Here is a 17,758-nt window from a genome sequence, read left to right as displayed (position 1 = left end):
CCAATAAGACCATCTGAAGGTGAAAATATCCTAAGACGAAACTACATTTAATATACCTAGCCTAGCAACATCCTCGCTTAGCCCAGCCTATCTGAAACATGCTCAGAACCCTTACATGAGCCTGCCGTTGGGCAGAGTCATCCGGTAGCACAGTACACTCGAGAGGATGGGTTGTGTCCTAGTCCATTTGTGTTGCTATAAAGGAATACCTGAGAGGAAAGAGGTTTATTTGACTCACAGTTCAGCAGGCTGTACAAAAAGCATGGCACTAGCATCTGCTTCTGACGAGGGCCTCAGGCTACATCCACTCGTGGTGGAAGAGGAAGGGGAACCCCTGTGTGGGGGTCACATGGCAAGAGCAGAAGCAAGGTGGGGGAGGTGTCGGACTCTTTTCCATCTATCTATCTATCTATCTATCTATCTATCTATCTATCTATCTAATCTATCTATCTGTCTATCTATTTGAGACAGGGTCTCACTCTGTTGTCCAGGCTGGAGTGCAGTGACGTGACCATGGCTCACTGCAGCCTCGACCTCCCGGGCTCAAGTGATCCTCCTATCTTAACCTCCCAAGTAGCTGGGACTACAGGTGCTCACCACCATGCACAGCTAATTTTTTTTTAAAATTTTTTTATAGAAATGAGGCTTCGTCATGTTGCCCAGGCTGGTCTCAAACTCCTGGGCTCAAGCCATCCTCCCACTTCCACCTCCCAAAGTGCTGGGATTACAGGAGTGAGCCACTGCACAGGCCTAGCCTCTTTTTGACAACTAGCTCTCAGGGGAGCTCTTGCAAGAACTACTAATGCGAGCACTCACTCATTACTGTTAGGATGGCCATAAGTCATTAATGAGAGATCCCTCCCCATGACATAAACACCTCTCACTAGGCCCCACCTCCAACATTGGAGATCAAATTTCAACATGAGTTTTGGAGGGGGTCAAATATCCAACCTATACAGGAGTTTGTTTAGTCACTTTGGGAGGCAGAGGCAGGAGGATCACTTGAGCCCAAGAGTTTTAAGACCAGCTTGGGCAACACAGGGAGACCTTGTCTCTATAAATAATTTTTTTTTCAATTAGTTGGGTATGGTGGTGCATGCTTGTAGTCCCAGCTACTCAGGAGGATTGCTTGAGTCCAGGAGGTCAAGGCTGCAGTGAGCCATGATCGCGCCACTGCACTTCAGCCTGAGTGACTGAGTGGGACCCTGTCTCCAAAAAAGAAAAAGAGCCTCGCTGCCTGGCATTACACGAGAGTGTCATCCCATATATCACTAGATTCAGAAAAGACCAAAATTCAAAGCACGGTTTCTATTGAACACTTACTGCTTTGGCACCATTGTAAGGTCAAAACATTGTAAGTTGAACCACAGTAAGTTGGGGGCTATCTGTAGCCCATTAGTGCTGTGGGGAGGGTGGCAGTGGACTATCTCCTCTGGGGCCTTGAAGGCATGGTAAATGCTAGCCTTCTCTACAGGGTCCAGGGGCCTCTCTCAGCTGCCACAGTCTCCAAGTCTGTGGGGATACAGCTGGCACCCAAGGAACCGGGGTCTTGGGAGATAAAACTTGAGTAGAGAGGGATATTTGAGGTGACCTCTCTCTCTTCCACTTTCCCTGGCTGTTGATCAAGAAGAACCAAGTATTGATCTGTGTTTGACATTGGCTGCAATTTTCTACCTGCTTTAGGCTGTCTTCTCAACCCAATTCAAAGAAGTAAGATATAAAGGTAGGCTTTGAACAAAAAACACTGTCAGACTTGGCCATTCTTCTCCAAGGGTCCTGATCAGAAACTATCAGGATTGAAACACCAATGTCTAATTCTCCTCAGAACACAACATTCCTCCCTTTACTGCTTGGATAGGACAGGGCCTCCAGGGTCATCTGGGATGCTCTTCTTTCTAAAATGCAGAAGGAAGAATGAATGACAGAATGAGAGCAAGAGGTGGCCTGGGGCTTTACTTTTGGCAAGATGAGTTTAGTCAAGAGAGCTCCAGCAAGTTGGAGTGGAGAAGAGGGGAGAAGGCCCATCTCTTCTGATACGCAGTGTATTTGGTGTAGTGGACTTATGCTGTTTGTGGATTTGCATTAAATGTACTCAATTATGTTCCCAGCCAGAGAAAGATAGGATGTAAATGCAGCTGTGATACCTGCCCTCCAGTCCAGCCCACATGATCTGCTTCTCCTGGGTGTCTCAGTGCCTTCATCTGTCCATGTGTCTGAGGATCCCTCCACACTGGGAGGGATTGAGGCCCCTAATCACATACTAGCATGTCAGCTTGGGTTTTCAGAACCAGCCAAGTATTTCATGGGTTGGGAAAACTGACTTTAATGGACTTAACTGAGAACTGAGAGTGATGTTGCTGGTTCGGACAAGCCTAGTGTGTCCTAAATACCATAGTGCATGGGCAATTAGAGGAATTCTCCACGGTAAATTGAACTATAGTTGAACACATCTTAGTATTGACTTTAGAAACTAAGAGCAACCATGACTCCTTTGTACAAATTAACCCTATCTCTCCTCAGACTCCCCTGGCAAGCTCATCTATACTAAAAGAAACTTCCCCTCCCTCCGCACTCCCACCCCCCTTCCTTCTCTCTCTCCCTATCCTCCTGGTGTGTTCTCTCTCTCTCCCTCTCCCTCTCCCTCCCTCCTGCCCCCCCCCCCGCCCCCGCAAATTCTAGCTCTAAGTGATTTAGATGCTTATGTAGCCTAAGAGGGAAGTATTAAACAGCTGAATTACTTAACCTCTCTTAAAAGTTTGTTTCCTCATTCTTATTAAAACGATAATCATTGCCAAATAGGGCTGTTGTGAGCTGAAGAAGATAGTTCATGTGGAGCTCCCAGGAATGTCTGGCAGCTGGAAAGTGCTCTCATGTGGGAGCCATTGACCCCACTCTTCACTCTTTCCACTGGAGGACTGGAAGCCCAGGAAGGTGCCGGTCGCTAACCACCTCTGGTCCTCTACCCTCCTAAGGCTCAGAGCATTCTTGACGAGCTCAGAGCAACCCTAGAGTGAGGCCTGGGGTGAGCTGGAGTGGAGCCAAGAATATGCATCTCTAGGGAGCCAAGTGCCAAAGTATTGGATGGGAGACTGAGAGGTGCCTTGTGAAGATGTGATCTTAAGAGAGCTGTAGTGCTGGGTCTCAGGGCCTCTGCCAGTCTGTATAGGGCCTCTGTATACAACTCTACGGCAGTCCTGGGAGCTTCTGTATTTTGGGGGTAGTCTTGAGGACTTGATGAAAACTGTGGCCCTGTTCCCTAGAAAAATGAACAAAATTCTGCATTGCTTTGAGAGGAATAAGGCCTTTCCCACTTTGGGTTGTAGGTTGGAGAACCCTTTCTCTGGAAGTGCGTGGGCAGTAAGTGTTACAGAGTCCCACTCTTGGCAGATGTCTTTCCTAAGGTTGCTGACAGCAGCTGTACAGCCTGATTTCTCTATTTTCATGAGAACCATTGAGCTTGTCTCTGTAGCTCTCAGGATAAAGGCAGAACTCTTCCTAGAAGTTTAAAAGACAAGGTCTGACCCCTGCTGACTTGGTCATCCTCCACACCTATATATATCATCTCTCTTCTGCATGTGGGCCCTCTTCCCAGCCTCTTCACACTTACCAGGCTCCTTCCTACCCCAGGGCCTTTGCACATGCTCTTCCCCCTGCCCAGAACACTCTTCCTTCCCCTGTTCATTTTCTTAAGGAAACCTTCCCTTACCAGGTCAGTCTCTCCTGTTGGAGGCCTCCATTGTGCTGGCCACCTTGCCCTCCTACCTTTATCACTGTTACAATTTTGTGTTCATTTGGTGACTAATGACCACCTTTCTCTTCTGCTTTCTGAGGGCAGAAAGTGGGTCTGTCTTGTTCACTGCTGTATTCTCAGTGCCTTGCACACAGTAGAGCCCACAGTGAACGAGCAGCTCACCTCTGCAGAGGTGGGAGATGTGACATCTGTGCAGGAGGCTCTTTGGTTTCCCATCTTCATTTCTTCTGATCCCCAGTGCCCTCTTCACATGTTTGCATGCCTAACTCTCCCTCCTCTCTCCCTGGAGGTGTGTTGAGGCTCCTGGAACACGGGGAGGAGTACGTATTCACCCTGCCTAGTGCCTACGCCCGGTCCATTCTCACCATCCCGTGGGTGGAGCTCGGAGGAAAAGTCAGCATCAACTGTGCCAAGACTGGGTACTCAGCGACAGTGATATTCCACACGAAGCCTTTCTATGGAGGGAAAGTCCACAGGTAGGAGCTGGCCGGAGAGACTCTGGCTTTGTCTTAACAAGATGCCCTGAGTTTCCTTTCACCATTAGAAGACTGAGTTTCAGTAATGGGATGAGTTGAAAATCAAGATAAACTTGTTAAGGTCTTTTCCAAAAGAGATGCCTTTTCCCTACCTTACATGGCAGTTTTTTGGAGTCCTCCCCACCCTAAACTTAAGGTTAAATCTTCGGTGATGCATTTGCAGAGCACACGCCAGAAAATAAAAGCACTTCTGTTTGTTGGAATAAACTCTCCCTTCTGAAGCCACAGTTTGTTGCTTTGCTCTAAAGTGATTGAATCTATGAACCCAGACATAGCCAGACAGTTCCCCATTTCACATTAGCTGGCTACACTATCCTCAATTCTGTGTCATGCATCCATGAGGTCAAGATCATTTCCTTCTTTTGAAAAACTGGGGAAGCCCAAGCCTAAGTAATTGAAGGAGAGGTCTGCTCTTTGAGGAAGCACAAAATTGTTTTTATTGCTGCAGCTATAAAAAATATTCCTCTTTTAGCACAGCTCTACTGTGTAAGCAAGATATACTGTACAAACAAACTTCCATCTTTGCCCTTTTTCTTGGAAAGCATTATTCTGCATGGCATTAGTGTGAGTGTATCAGAGTGTCACAGGGGCACGTGGACACCCTTGGGGACACCTGGAGCCAGCACACACCAGCTCGTAAGAACTGATTTGTGTGTACTTCACGTTCAGTGCTATCATGTTGGTAGTTGAAATCAGCCATGATGGGCACCACAGAAATTGGCAAATGGTACAGATCAGGTGTCTTCCCTTTTAGAGATCCAGTTGTTAAATATTTACCAGAATGCCACTAATATCTTTCCACTGTGTGCAATCCAGAAGATGCCTCATACCTGCCTGTGAGCCTCTGCATTGCTACCTAAGAACTGTGACTGTTTTTAGGCTCAAGGAGAAAGCCTCCCAGTCTGTTTGAAAACTCTAAATTCAGCCTGAGCTGGGCCTTAAGGAAAAGGGGAGTTTAGATCCTACACATGGCTGCTTTGGGGCAGGCATCCCCGTTCCTGTGGTGTTCCTTCAACTGTGCAGAAAGCTCAGTGGTGGAGAGGGAGCTGGGAGTCTGCTTTCACTTGGAATTCCCACAGGTGAGGCAGGTGAAAGAGAGGTCGCAAATCTCCACAAAGGCCCTTTAAATGAGAGGTTGAAGTCATTCCTCAGAGCCACTACTGTGAGTAGGAAGCTATTGATTGAGACTGAGACTCTAGGTTTTGCTCAGCCTTCATTCAGGGGATGTGTGGATGCTGGAGTGGATGTTTCCCTCCTTTTCCAACATAAGCTCTGTTGGGATTGTGGGCAACCATGTTTGACCCCATACAAAATAGACCTGATTTAAGGATTGAAAAGCTCACCCTACACTCTTACACACTTTTTAGGGTTAAAATGTAGCATTATTAGATACTATTTTGGAGAAGACAGAGTATATGCTATTTTGTTTTCCTTTTTTTTTAATTAATTTTTTGCATAAGTTATTGGGGTACAGGTGGTATTTGCTTACATGAGTAAGTTCTTTAGTCGTGATTTGTGAGATTTTGGTGCACCCATCACCCGAGCTATAGGTACTGCCCCATATTTGTAGTGTTTTAATTCTCGTCCCCTTCCCACTTATTTTTTCTTGAATTGCCTGATTTTCATCCCAGTGATATCTGTTTATCACAATTGAGAAATTAACATTGCTGTATTACTATGAACTAATCTATAGACTTTATTCAGATTTCACTATTATTTCCAGTGATGCTTTCTTTTGCTGTTCAAGGATATTAGATCATCTTTTAAGAGCTAGTCTTTGAGCAAAGCTGCAAAAACAATCCCTCCTTCCCATTTCTGATTAAAAAAAAAAATCTCTAGAGATGGGTGTACCTTTGAAGTCTCTGTTTTTATCATTTTGAAAAGTGTGTACTCATTTGACTCATTAATTCAGGGTTACCGCAGAAGTGAAGCACAACCCAACCAACACCATTGTTTGTAAAGCCCATGGGGAATGGAATGGTACTTTAGAGTTCACCTACAACAATGGAGAAACCAAAGTCATCGACACAACCACACTGCCAGTGTATCCCAAGAAGATCAGACCTCTTGAGAAGCAGGGACCCATGGAGTCCAGGTGAGAACCGGGCTGTGTCTTCCTCTCCAGCTTAGTCATGCTGGGCACCTGACTCAAGGGACAGAGAAGAAAGAAGACTTTGAAACTTAGCGACTGGAAACAGGCCAGGAATCATGTTCTACTGGCTTCTTTAGATATTTTAATTTTCTACTGTGTGTCACTTAGGAGCAGAACCTTTCAGCTTTCAGTTACGTCATTCTGTAGTCATGGGGTGGGGTGTGAGGACAGACTTCACTGCTTGTCTTACAAAAGTTTGTCAACTCATCTGATCTGTTGCTTAATTGCAAAGGTAAATACCGAGAGTTGATAGTAATCAAAGAACTGCACAGTGAGTCAATAAGATACTATTTTTTTCTTGCCAGATTAGCAATATTATTAAAAAAATTAAATGCTGGGAAAGGTGTAGTAAAATTGACACTCTATACCCTGTCCTTCTAGTAGGAGTGTGTGCAGTTTAGCTGCATGGATCAGTAGCTTTCAATTCATGAATCCATTTTAATCTTGCATTCTACTTCTAAGAATCTGTTCTCAGGGCAAACTCTTAAATTCAGAAAAAATTTAAACAACATAAAATGGTTTATTCTTTTTTTAAAGAAAACTAAGCAACAAAAGAAAGAAATCACCTGTCTAATATTTGGAAAATGGTTAAGTAAATTACGAAGTATCCATTCAGTTTGTATATCTATGCTGTGACTATGGTATGAATATAATGCAGCCACTTAATGTGATGTTTATGCAGGCACAGAAGCAGAATCTCCTTGGAATATGCCAGTTTTATTTTTTAATGTAGGACATCAGCAAACTATGGCCTGTGGGCCAAATCCAACCTGAGGCTGATTTTGTAAATAAAGTTTTATTGGAACACAGCCATGATCATTCATTTACATATGGCTTATGGCTGCCTTCCTGCTACAATGGCTGAGTTAGGTAGTTGCAACCAAGACCATATGGCCTGCAAAGCCTAAAATGTTTACTTTCTGGCCCTTTACAGAAAATTTTTGCCAACTGCTGCTCTAATCTAAGAGCATACACTCTTTAGAAATACGATGCAGGGTTAAAATGAAATTACAAATGATTTTATGAAAGCTTTACTATTACTACAAGAGTTTGTAACCAAATAGAAACAGTTCTTGTAAGTGGAAACAAAGCAGGGATACCACAGTATGTATAAATAATACATTATATTAATAACTGGGTTTAATGGAAACAGAGCTTCAGTATCCCTGGAACCTTTGCTTTGCTGTAGAATTAGTACACTCTTGCTTGTTAATCAGTTTATTTGAGGACAGTGAGCATAACCTTTCTCTGTGTCTAACTGGAGAGCTTGGACTCTTACCAGTTGTCTTTTTCAGTCCATCCTGTTGGGCAGCAGTAGCAGGACAAGGGAAAGGCTGCGATAAGGAAGGAAACCCATCCCCTTGCCCACACTGCCTCTGATGAAGCATTCCCAGAATGGGGAAACCTGTGGTTCATATCATGACATGACTGTTGTTTCTGATCCAGCTATTGAGAACAAAACTGTGATCACCTGCTACTTTTCTTCCAAGGATATCAGAGTAGTTTAGCTACTCCTTATTAAGACTCTTTGTTGCTTGTTAGCCTATGGGAATGCAGAATTCAGCTTAGAGCAGGGATGGAGTCTGGTGCCAGAGTAAGAGAGAAGGTGCTACCTCTTTTTGTCTGTTTATGTGGATTTTACTGAAATAGGGAACAAGCTACAGTAGCCCCCTTTATCTGTGATTTTGCTTTCTTTAGTTTCTGTTACCTGCAGTCAGCCACCACCTGAAAATATTACAGTATTTTCAGAGAGAGAATACATTCACATAACTTTTATTATGGTATATTGTTATAATTGTTCTATTTTATTAATCTCTTACTATGCCTAATTATAAATTAAATGACATCGTAGGTATGTAATGTATAGGAAGAAACATAGTATATATAGGTTTGGTACTATCTGTGGCTTTGGGCATCTGCTGGGGGGTCTCCAAATGTATCCTCCATAGGTAAAGGGGGACTGCTGTATAGGGATACTGAGCCCACCCATCCTTGTTCTCTGCAGAGGAAACGGCCTTGAGGAGTGGAGTGGCTGGTTCCAGTCTCCGTGGCTGCTCAGAGCACCTGTGTTCACTCTCCCAGCCGGGTGTGCTAGGCCTTCCCTGCAGAGGCAAAGGAGGGACCATCAGCATGGCTAGGTGGACCAGCAGTTAGAACAGTTGTCTTAGCTCTCACAGTGGTGCCAGCCCTTGGTGAGGCCTCCAGTCCCCAACTAGAATTCCTGGAAGGGAACTCCAGTCCCATTAGTGGTAGAATGAAGATAATTCTGTGGTCTTCGGTCTTCCCATACCTGTAAGTCTGCTCACAAGGCCCAGAGCTTGGTCTGAGCAGAAACTCTGCCTTGGCCAGAGCCCTCAGGGGCCCAATGACTTAAGGCAGAGCCAGCACCCAGGGATGCCAGTCCTGCCCTGCCTCAGCCACTTGCTCGACCTCTGCCATGGTGCCCTCCCCTCCTCAGAGCAAGCTTACCTCAGCTTCCTTTGGCTTTTCTTACTGAATTGCTGCCATCTCTCCCCACCCTGGAGACTCCTTTTTCTTTTAGCATGGTGTTCAGAGCCTCCTCCACTCCATTCTCCTCCCTGCTCTCAAGTGACTCTCCTGGTTGGGTCCCTATTCATGTTGGGCAGAGATCTTTGTCTGTGGTTCTGGTCCCATCACCCTGTCTCTGGTTTTGGGCGCTCTGCCCTCTACTCTTGGGGCCACTGTCTTAAGATGGGACTTACCATGGGAGGTTCTGCCCTTCAGAGGACCCCCTGACCCCAGCTGTCCTGGTGCCCAGCCCCACCCTCAGCGTAAGGTGTGTGTTGAGGCTGTGTGATGAGAATTACTGTGATTTTACCCAACACCCACCCCTCATTTTCTTCCCTCACCCAGCCTTACTGTTTGGGCGAGTCTTTCCTCTTAAATCAGTTATGAGGGTACAGTGGAAAGAGGAGGGACTGAGAGACCAATCAGATCTGGCTTATCTCTCAGTGCCAGCAGTTTTCTTGTGTGTGTGCAGCTGGGGTTTCTTCTGTTGGCATCTGTACCCCCAGGAGGTGCTGCTGGCTGTCCCTAGTTCACTGGCAGCCCCATCTGTCTGTCCTCTGCCTGACCATGCCAGCACTCAAGCCTTCCTGCTGCTCTGAGCCCTTGCTGGGGAAAGGGTTAAGGACACCCGCTGTAGATATGCTCCCCGGCCCAGGACCTAAAGATGGGCATTCACTTGCCCCTGGGTGAAGGGGCCTCATTTTCTAGAAGCCAGGGAGGGAATCTCCACCACCTGGCATTCGGACAGTTCCTTGTCTGTGAAATCCGACCTTCTGATGCATTTAAGTGAGGAAGTGCTTGGGTGGTGGTGTCCTGATTTATCATGGGTCCTTTCCTTTCTCTCTAGAACAGAGTGTGTCTGAATACAGGCTGGTCCCAAGGACATCCTGAGGAGGAAAGCTGTGTGTTAAACATAAGCCAAATACAAACTAGTGTTAAACACTAGCTTCTTTCCTTTTCTCTTGTCCCACTGTCAAAGTGCTTTTTTTTTCCAAGTAGTCAGCCTTGATTGACGTAAACCAACCAAGCTCCCCTTTTATTTTGCTCATTTCATGGGGTTTCCTCCTGCCATGCCAGGGTAGGAAGGTCAAGGTCATCTGAGTGTCCAAAGAGCAGCTGGGCTGAAGAGGGGTAGTGAGCTGAACAGCCTGGCCTCACTACCTTTAGGCTGCGTTCTACAATGAATTCATGAAGCAGAGAAATGGCTTTGTGTAGACATGGGGGGAGATGAGAGATCCCGCACTATAAGCATGCACACACAAATACCCACACATCACACATGCATCAGCCTCTAACCCCTAATTCCAGGTTCCCTTGTGGGAAAGCAGGTCTTGTTCTGATTTACCAGTGTGGTGTCCTTGGGCAAGTCACCTAACCTTATGTGGACCTTAAATTTTCTCCTCTGTAAAATGGAGATAAGAATCTACCGTCTATAATATATCATTGGGTTGCTGTGAGGATTAAAGAGGTTTATGTATGTAAAATGCTTAGAAATATGGCAAATGCCATATGTGCCTGCTACCGTTGTTTGTAGTAGTAGCAGAATGCCAACTACTACTATTAGATTTGATTCCCAGAATCTCCGGGCCCTGAGAAAGGCATGCTGCCTGGTACAAGCGGAGAGTAGAAACAACACAGAGGTGGAGCTGGGTAGCCCTGGGTTCAAATCTAGGCTCTCGGGGTCTTTGAGGTATCTGGGATGAGCTACCCCAGAGGGGGCTTGCCTGGCGGCCCCTCGCTGCTCTGGCTGCTCCTGGCAGAGTTCCGTTAGCTTGCAGCCAGCTGGCCTGGCTGATTGTTTCCTCTCCTCCACGCATCCCCAGGAACCTCTGGCGGGAGGTGACCCGATACCTGCGGCTGGGGGACATTGACGCAGCCACCGAGCAGAAGCGGCACCTGGAGGAGAAGCAACGGGTGGAGGAACGGAAGCGCGAGAACCTCCGCACACCATGGAAGCCCAAATATTTTATCCAGGAGGTAACTCTGCCGCCTGTCATTGGTCCCTTGCCCAGGAGAGAACTTGTCCTGAGAGGGTAGATGGGTTTTTCTTGCTGAGCCCCCAAGACTGGATAAATACCAGGCAGGGGAAGGGATGGACTAGGGCAGCTCGGTTCTGACTCCAGCTTTGGACAAGGCTTCAGGACAGGTTTTCTGCCACAATATTCATGAAACCTTCTGGAGGGCAGAACTGAGCAACTGACACTTCCCCTCCAGTATCCCTATGTCAGAAAAGCATGTCAGCCTGCCTGTGAGGGATCGCGATGGGACTGCAGACTGGATACTGTTCTATTTTTAAAAAGAAAATCATCATGGCACCTGTTAGATCATCTTTAGTAACAAATTAGTTGAGGAGTGCCTCACAGGCCATCTCAACACCTGGGTGGGCTGGAGCCCTCACTGATGAAGAATTGCCTTTCAGAGCTTTGCCTCCTGTGGGCCACAAGGGCTAGTCATGCAGGGGAAGGCCAGCCTGAGTCCTGTGCCTAAAATGCTGTTGCTGTCACCTGCAAATGTGACACTAGAAGCTAGAAATAATATCTGGGCAAGTGGGCAGGGCACTGTGTGCCCAGCTGAAGCCCTTATGCTCTTGAAGTTGTGGAGGGATTGGGAAGCACTCTGAGAACAGAATTGGAAATTATGAAAATGTAGGAGCCACACGTCTTAAAGCAGGCCCACAGGAACCCAGCAACATCAATGAAGAGCAGGCCGGTGAGGGCTGGGGCAGATGCCACTCATCTTCCAGTGATAAAACAGATTGTCTAGTTGTTCATGAGGAGCCAGAAATCTAAATTTTTATGAGAAATCTCATATTTGCATGGTCAAAGATTTAAAAAAATTTAAATACCAGTAGGCAATCAAAATGTATCTGTGGGCTTTCCTTAGCCCAGGTGCTGGTAACCCCTGACTTCTGCTACAAAGAGGGATTATTCTGTCTATATACGAGGCTGAGAAGTGAGTTAGGGCAACATAGTAGGTAACTGGGGTGGATTCATGGTTAAGAGCAGGAAGAGCAGGAAGCCACCACTGTTCTCCCCAGAGTCAGGCTGTGGACTGAAGGAGATTTCAAGGTTGGATTCTGGTTCAGACAGGAAAGCTGCCTGGAGAAGACTTTGCCTTTATGGGTCACTGAGTGGGGACCCTGTGTGGGAGCCCTGCCCAGGTGAGGTAAAACCTTGAAAGATCCTTCTGTGAGGTTAGCTCCCTTTTCTCTTGAGGGAGCTAGTAGCTTGAGAGAGCTAGTTTGTCTGGCTTCTGTGGAAGGCTGTGCATTAAACAGCAACAACAACAAGAAAAAACATTTACAGTTCTTCCTGAGTTTAAGAAAAGCCAGTATGCCCATAACAGAAGGGCTGGGAACATGTAAGGAATAAGAGTCATCTGAACACCAGCACAGTTATTCAGTATAGTGCCTTCTAGTCATAACTAGATGGTATTAATACCATTTTAATTCTTGCCTTTTTCTCACTTGATATTTGATTGATGGTGTTTCTTGTGTGTGCTGATTTGTTTGTGACTACTGCCTGCTGGAGAGAGCCTTTGTTGGGTGTTCCCCTGTGGGCTGGAAGTCACTGGTATGCACACCCTTGCCTTTTCTTTCCCCTGGCCATTCATCTAGCTACTCTCCTTTTCTCTTGTCCCACTGTCAAAGTGCTTCTTTTTTTTGGCCAAGTAATCAGTCTCGATGGAAGCCAACCAAGCTCCCCTTTTATTTTGCTCATTTCTTGGGGTTTCCTCCTGCCATGCCAGGGTAGGAAGGTCAAGGTCATCTAGATCTCCAAAGAGCAGCTGGGCTGAGGAGGGGTACTGAGGCCAGCAGCCTGGCCTGCGTGTGAGGTATTAAGACACGGCAGACACACAGAGTGGCTGCGGTTATCCTTGCTTCCCCTTTTCCCTGTTGAGAGGTCTCCATGTAATAATGCCTCCTTTCTTCTCTTGCAGGGCGATGGCTGGGTATACTTCAATCCCCTCTGGAAAGCACACTGATGGGGTGGAGGTGCAGAGCTTTCCAGTATAGCCCTGTTTTTGTAGGAATATTAAAGTAGTAGAGTATCAGGGTTTTGTTGGCATTCACTGAGACCTTGTATTAGCATCCAAGAAATGATGAGAGAGAGAGAAATTATATACTATGAAAAGTGCACCCCCACACTCTGCTAGAGGAATGAATTTATTCAAGAGCCATTCGGGGCACGTGTGTGTACACACCGTATACGTTCACACACATGCACTATGTAAACATCTGAGTATGATTACACATTTAAATACTGCACTCACCAAGGTTAAAGTGGGTAATCATAAGCTCCTTTTTATCAATGAAGTTTGAAGTTTTTCTATTTTTCACTTTGCCAAAAATGTTTTACACTCACAAAGATATTCTCACTTAGTCAACTCCTGTCAAAATGAAGGTGAACTGGCATGGCCCGATCACTGTCCATAAGGGAGAAAGTGGCTCATTCCTGGTAGAAGTATGGGTGGTTATCATTTCAAAATTATTGTGATTCTCACCTCCCTCCCCACCTCAGTGTTTTGTCTGTCCGCGCCCAAGAAAGATAAGCAAGTATTTCCTGCTGGATGGGGGTTGGCAGGAAGCTGTTAAAGATTTATGCCAGAGCCTTGCAGGATGGAGCACCTCTGGGACAACTAAGAGCCAAGGCCCACCAAGGAGTTTTCCACCCGTCTCTCATGGTCACAGCGCTAGTCATTCATTTTTGAGAAGTTGCTTCTTTTACATCAGAAAACCAGTCAATCATATGGAGACTTCTTTTGTGATGAAAAAGGGCTTTAGAAGTTAAATACATGCATGCACATGAAAACATGCACAACCACAGCCTCAATCTTGTATTTAGTTTGGGGAAAGAGAAGAGAATTTCCTGTGGATTATTTTTTCCTCAAGTGCACCTCTCTGGTTAACCCAAACTCTGCAAGAAAGCACTGTGACTAAAACATACATAACGCCTGCATAAATATTCCATGGTTTCAGTTAAATTTCAGTTTTTAGCCTTTACACATGAGGTCAAAGGAGTGACGAAAATACAAAGCAAGGAAAAAATGAAATATCTGGTTTTTGCTGAATGCTTAATTTATTTTTTACTGTGCCACTCCAATATTTATCAAATCCAAATAGCATGAATGCTTCTCTGTAGTAATACTAATTTTGTGCCTTTTGTCTGCTTTCTTAAGACCAGTTGTTCACACTTTGTAGATATTAGACAAATATATTTCGATTGAATACATATCTGTGTCTGTGTTTTATTTTCAGGGATTCAACAGTTCTATTAAATTGGTGGCTCTAAGTGAGCTCAACTTTTCCTGGTTAAATATTTCTAGTTATTGATATGAAGAGCAATCATATCTATATGGAAAAAGTATTTAACACATTTAAAAATGTACCAGATAAACATTTATGAATATTTTCTGGTAAGTCCATAAGAACATTTAACTCCTACCCAGTGAGTGTTGTTTCACGAGAAGAGTCACTGCCAGAAGTCACAATAGAAGCCTACTTAGGTCCACAGTCTTTAAAGCATCTGGGTGAATCAAGTATCTGGAACCATCTTATTTCTGACAGAGAAAGTGGAACAAATGCTATTTTGAGAAAAAGAAGAAAACTCAACTCAATGAGACTGAAAAGTAATCACTGTGTTGTTGGATTTTCCAGTCTGACTACAAAGCATAAACCATCTGGGAAGTAAAACATGGAGAGGGCTCACTTTTCTTTTGAGGCCAGGGGTACATTTAAAATTGTGAAATGTTATGTGTCAGGAGATTTACATAAAACATATGTACTCCAGGAATAATTATAAATACCCTTGTAGCCACTGCTTAAGCAAAGAAACCTGTTTACCAGTACCTTAAAAGCCACTATTGTGCCCCTATACAATTGTATCCCTCTCCATGCCTTCCTGGAATAACCATCCCCTTATGGGTTTTTTGTTGTTCTTTTAGACTATACACACTATGTGTGTATTTCTAAACAGTGTGATTGGTTTTACCCATTTTTGTAAAAATTGAATCATACCCTAGTTTGCCTATTTGAGCCAATATTTTCTTTCTAGTTCAATCCTTGTTGCTCTATTTGTTCATTTTCTTGCTGAGTTCATATTATGTTTTATTGTGGTAAAATATATGTAACAAAATCTACCATTTTAACTATTTTTTTTTTCCCAGATGGAGTCTCACTCTGTCACCCAGGCTGGAGTGCAATGGCGCGCAATCTCTGCTCACTGCAACCTCTGCCTTCCGGGTTCAAGCGATTCTCCTGCTTCAGCCTCCCGAGTAGCTGGGATTACAGGCGTGTGCCACCATGCCCAGCTAATTTTTGTATTTTTAGTAGAGATGGGGTTTCACCATGTTGGCCAGGCTGGTCTCAAACTCCTGACCTCAGGTGATTCACCCACCTGAGCCTCCCAAAGTGCTGGGATTACAGGTGTGAGCCACTGTGCCCAGCCTGGCATTTTAAAAATATACTGAGAAGTGGAATTGCTATATCATATGAAAATTCTGGTTTAAGTTTTAAGGAATTGCCACACAGTTTCTCACAAGAGCTGGCTGCCACATTTTGCAATGCCACTAGCAATGCACAAGGGATCCAATTTCTCCACATCCTCACCAATACCTATTATTTTGTTTTTACTTTTGTTGTTTCTTTAACCCCATCCTAATGGCTATGAAGTGCCATCTCAATGTGGTTTTGATTTATATTTCCCTAATGATTAGTGATGTTGAGCATGTGTTTTTGTGGTTTTGGCCATTTGTAAATCTTTGGAGAAATGTTTATTCAAATCCTTTTGCCCATTTTAAAATTAGGTTCTTTTTGTTGAGTTTTAGGAGTCCTTTATGGGTATTAATCCTTTCTGGATATTAATCCTTTATCAGATATGATGTGCAAATATTTTCTTCTGACTCTTTGGTTGCCTCTTCACTGTTAATGGTGTCCTCTGATGTACAAAAGTATTTAATTTTGATAATGTCTAATTTATTTTTCTTTGTACTTGTGCTTTTGATGTCATATCCAAGAAATCATTGACAAATACAATGCTGTGAAGTTTTTGTCCTATGATTTCTTCTAAGAGTTTTATAGTTTTAGGTCTTACTGGGGGGTAGGGGGTACTTTGATCCATTTTGAGTTGGTTTTTATATATGGTGTTAGATAAGGGTCCAACTTCATTCTTTTGCATGTGGATATCCAGTTTCCCCAACACCATTTGTTGAAAAGACTCTGCATTCCCCATTGAGTGATCTTGGTACCTTGTTGAAAATCACTGGCTATATACACGAATGTTTATTTATGGCCTATTCTTTTCCAATGGTCGATGTCAGTCTTTATGCCAGTACCACACTCTTTTAGTTACTGTAGCTTTGTAGCAAGTTACAAGATTAGGAAGTATGAGACCTCCAACTTTTTTATTCTTTTTTCAATATTGTTTCGTCTGTACAGGGTCATTTAAGATTCCATGTGAATTTTAGGATGAAATTTTCTATTTTTGCAAAAAACTCTGGGATTTTGATAGGGATTGCATTGAATCTGTAGATCCCTTTGAGTAGCATTGTCTTAACAGTAAGTCTTCCAATCTGTTAACCAGAATATCTTTCCATTTATTTATCTGTCTTAATTTCTTTCAGCATGTTTTGTAGTTTTCACTGGGCAAGTCTTCCTCAGTTAAGTTTAATTCTTAAGTATTTTACTCTTTTTGGTACTACTGTAAGTAGATCTTTCTCAGTTTCCTTTTTGGATTGTTCAATGTTGGCATATAAAAGTGTAAGTGCCAGGCACAGTGTCACATGCCTATAGTTCCAGCTACTCAGGAGGCTGAGACAGGAGGATTGCTTGGGCCCAGGAGTTTGAGATTTCAGCATGCTATGATTGCTCCTGTGAATAGCCACTGCACTCCAGCCTGGGCAACATAACAAGACCTCATTTCGTAAAAAACACATAATACTGATTTTTGTGCATTGGTTTTGTATCCTTTGCTGAATTTGTTTATTCTAACAGTTTTTTGGGGGGTGTGTGGGATCTAGGATTTTCTAGATACAATCATGTCATTTGCTAACAGATTTTACTTCTTCCAAATTTGGATGTCTTTTATTTCTTGTTCTTGCCTAATTGCTGTACCTAGAACTTCAAATACTGTGTTGAAGGAAGGAGGCAAAAAAAAAAAAAAAAAAAAAAATCCTTGTTTGTTCTTGATCTTACTGGAAAAGGTTTCAGCCATTCACTATTATGAGATTGGTTGTGGGTTTTTCATATATGGACTTCATTATGTTGAGGTACTTTCCTTCTACTTCTATTTTGCTGAGTGTTTTTGTTATAAAAGGGTGTTGTATCTTGTCAGAATGCTTTTTCTGCATGAGTTGATCAAGTGGTTCCCCCCCTCTATTCTGTTAATGTGTGGTGCATTGCACTGACTTTCATATGTTGAACCACCTTGCATTCTAAGAGTAAACTCCATGTTCTCATGGTGAATAATCCTTTAAATATGCTGTTGAATTTGCTTTGCTAGTATTACACTGAAGATGTTTGAATCAATATTCATTCATAATGGTTGTTGATCTGTAGTTGTCTTGTGTCTTTTCTGGCTTTGGTACCGGAGCATGCTGGCCTCATAAGATGAATTAGATTTTCTGTTTCTCTATTATTCAATCCTGGTAGGTTGTGTGTTTCTAGGAGTTTGTCCCTTTCGTCTAGGTTATTCAATTTGTTGGCATACAATTGTTCATGGTATTCTTAGGATCCTTTTTATTTTTGTAGAACTGGTAGTAATGTCTTCACTTTCATCTCTAATTTTAGTTATT

At 43.9% G+C, this 17,758-nt stretch overlaps 1 protein-coding gene across 17 annotated transcripts in view; it reads left to right on the top strand.

Moving 5' to 3' along the window:
• The window catches only part of OSBPL10 (oxysterol binding protein like 10), a 416,868-nt gene extending 402,669 nt beyond the window's left edge, over positions 1–14,199 (top strand). For 9 of the 17 annotated variants that reach the window (XM_047447389.1, XM_047447385.1, XM_005264844.6 and 6 more), the window contains 3 exons: positions 4,041–4,227; positions 6,200–6,382; positions 10,792–12,901. In XM_047447389.1, the coding sequence (XP_047303345.1) occupies positions 4,041–4,227; positions 6,200–6,382; positions 10,792–11,005 (584 nt within the window). In that variant the 3' untranslated portion in view covers positions 11,006–12,901. The other 8 variants (XM_047447390.1, XM_047447386.1, XM_047447391.1 and 5 more) reach the window with 1 other exon arrangement.
• Positions 14,200–17,758: the final 3,559 nt, after the last annotated feature.

Source organism: Homo sapiens, chromosome 3 (assembly GCF_000001405.40).
Source record: "Homo sapiens chromosome 3, GRCh38.p14 Primary Assembly".
In the NCBI taxonomy this organism is placed as follows: domain Eukaryota; kingdom Metazoa; phylum Chordata; class Mammalia; order Primates; family Hominidae; genus Homo; species Homo sapiens.
Note: the sequence above shows the minus strand (reverse complement) of the source record. Positions and strands in the feature narration are given on the sequence as shown.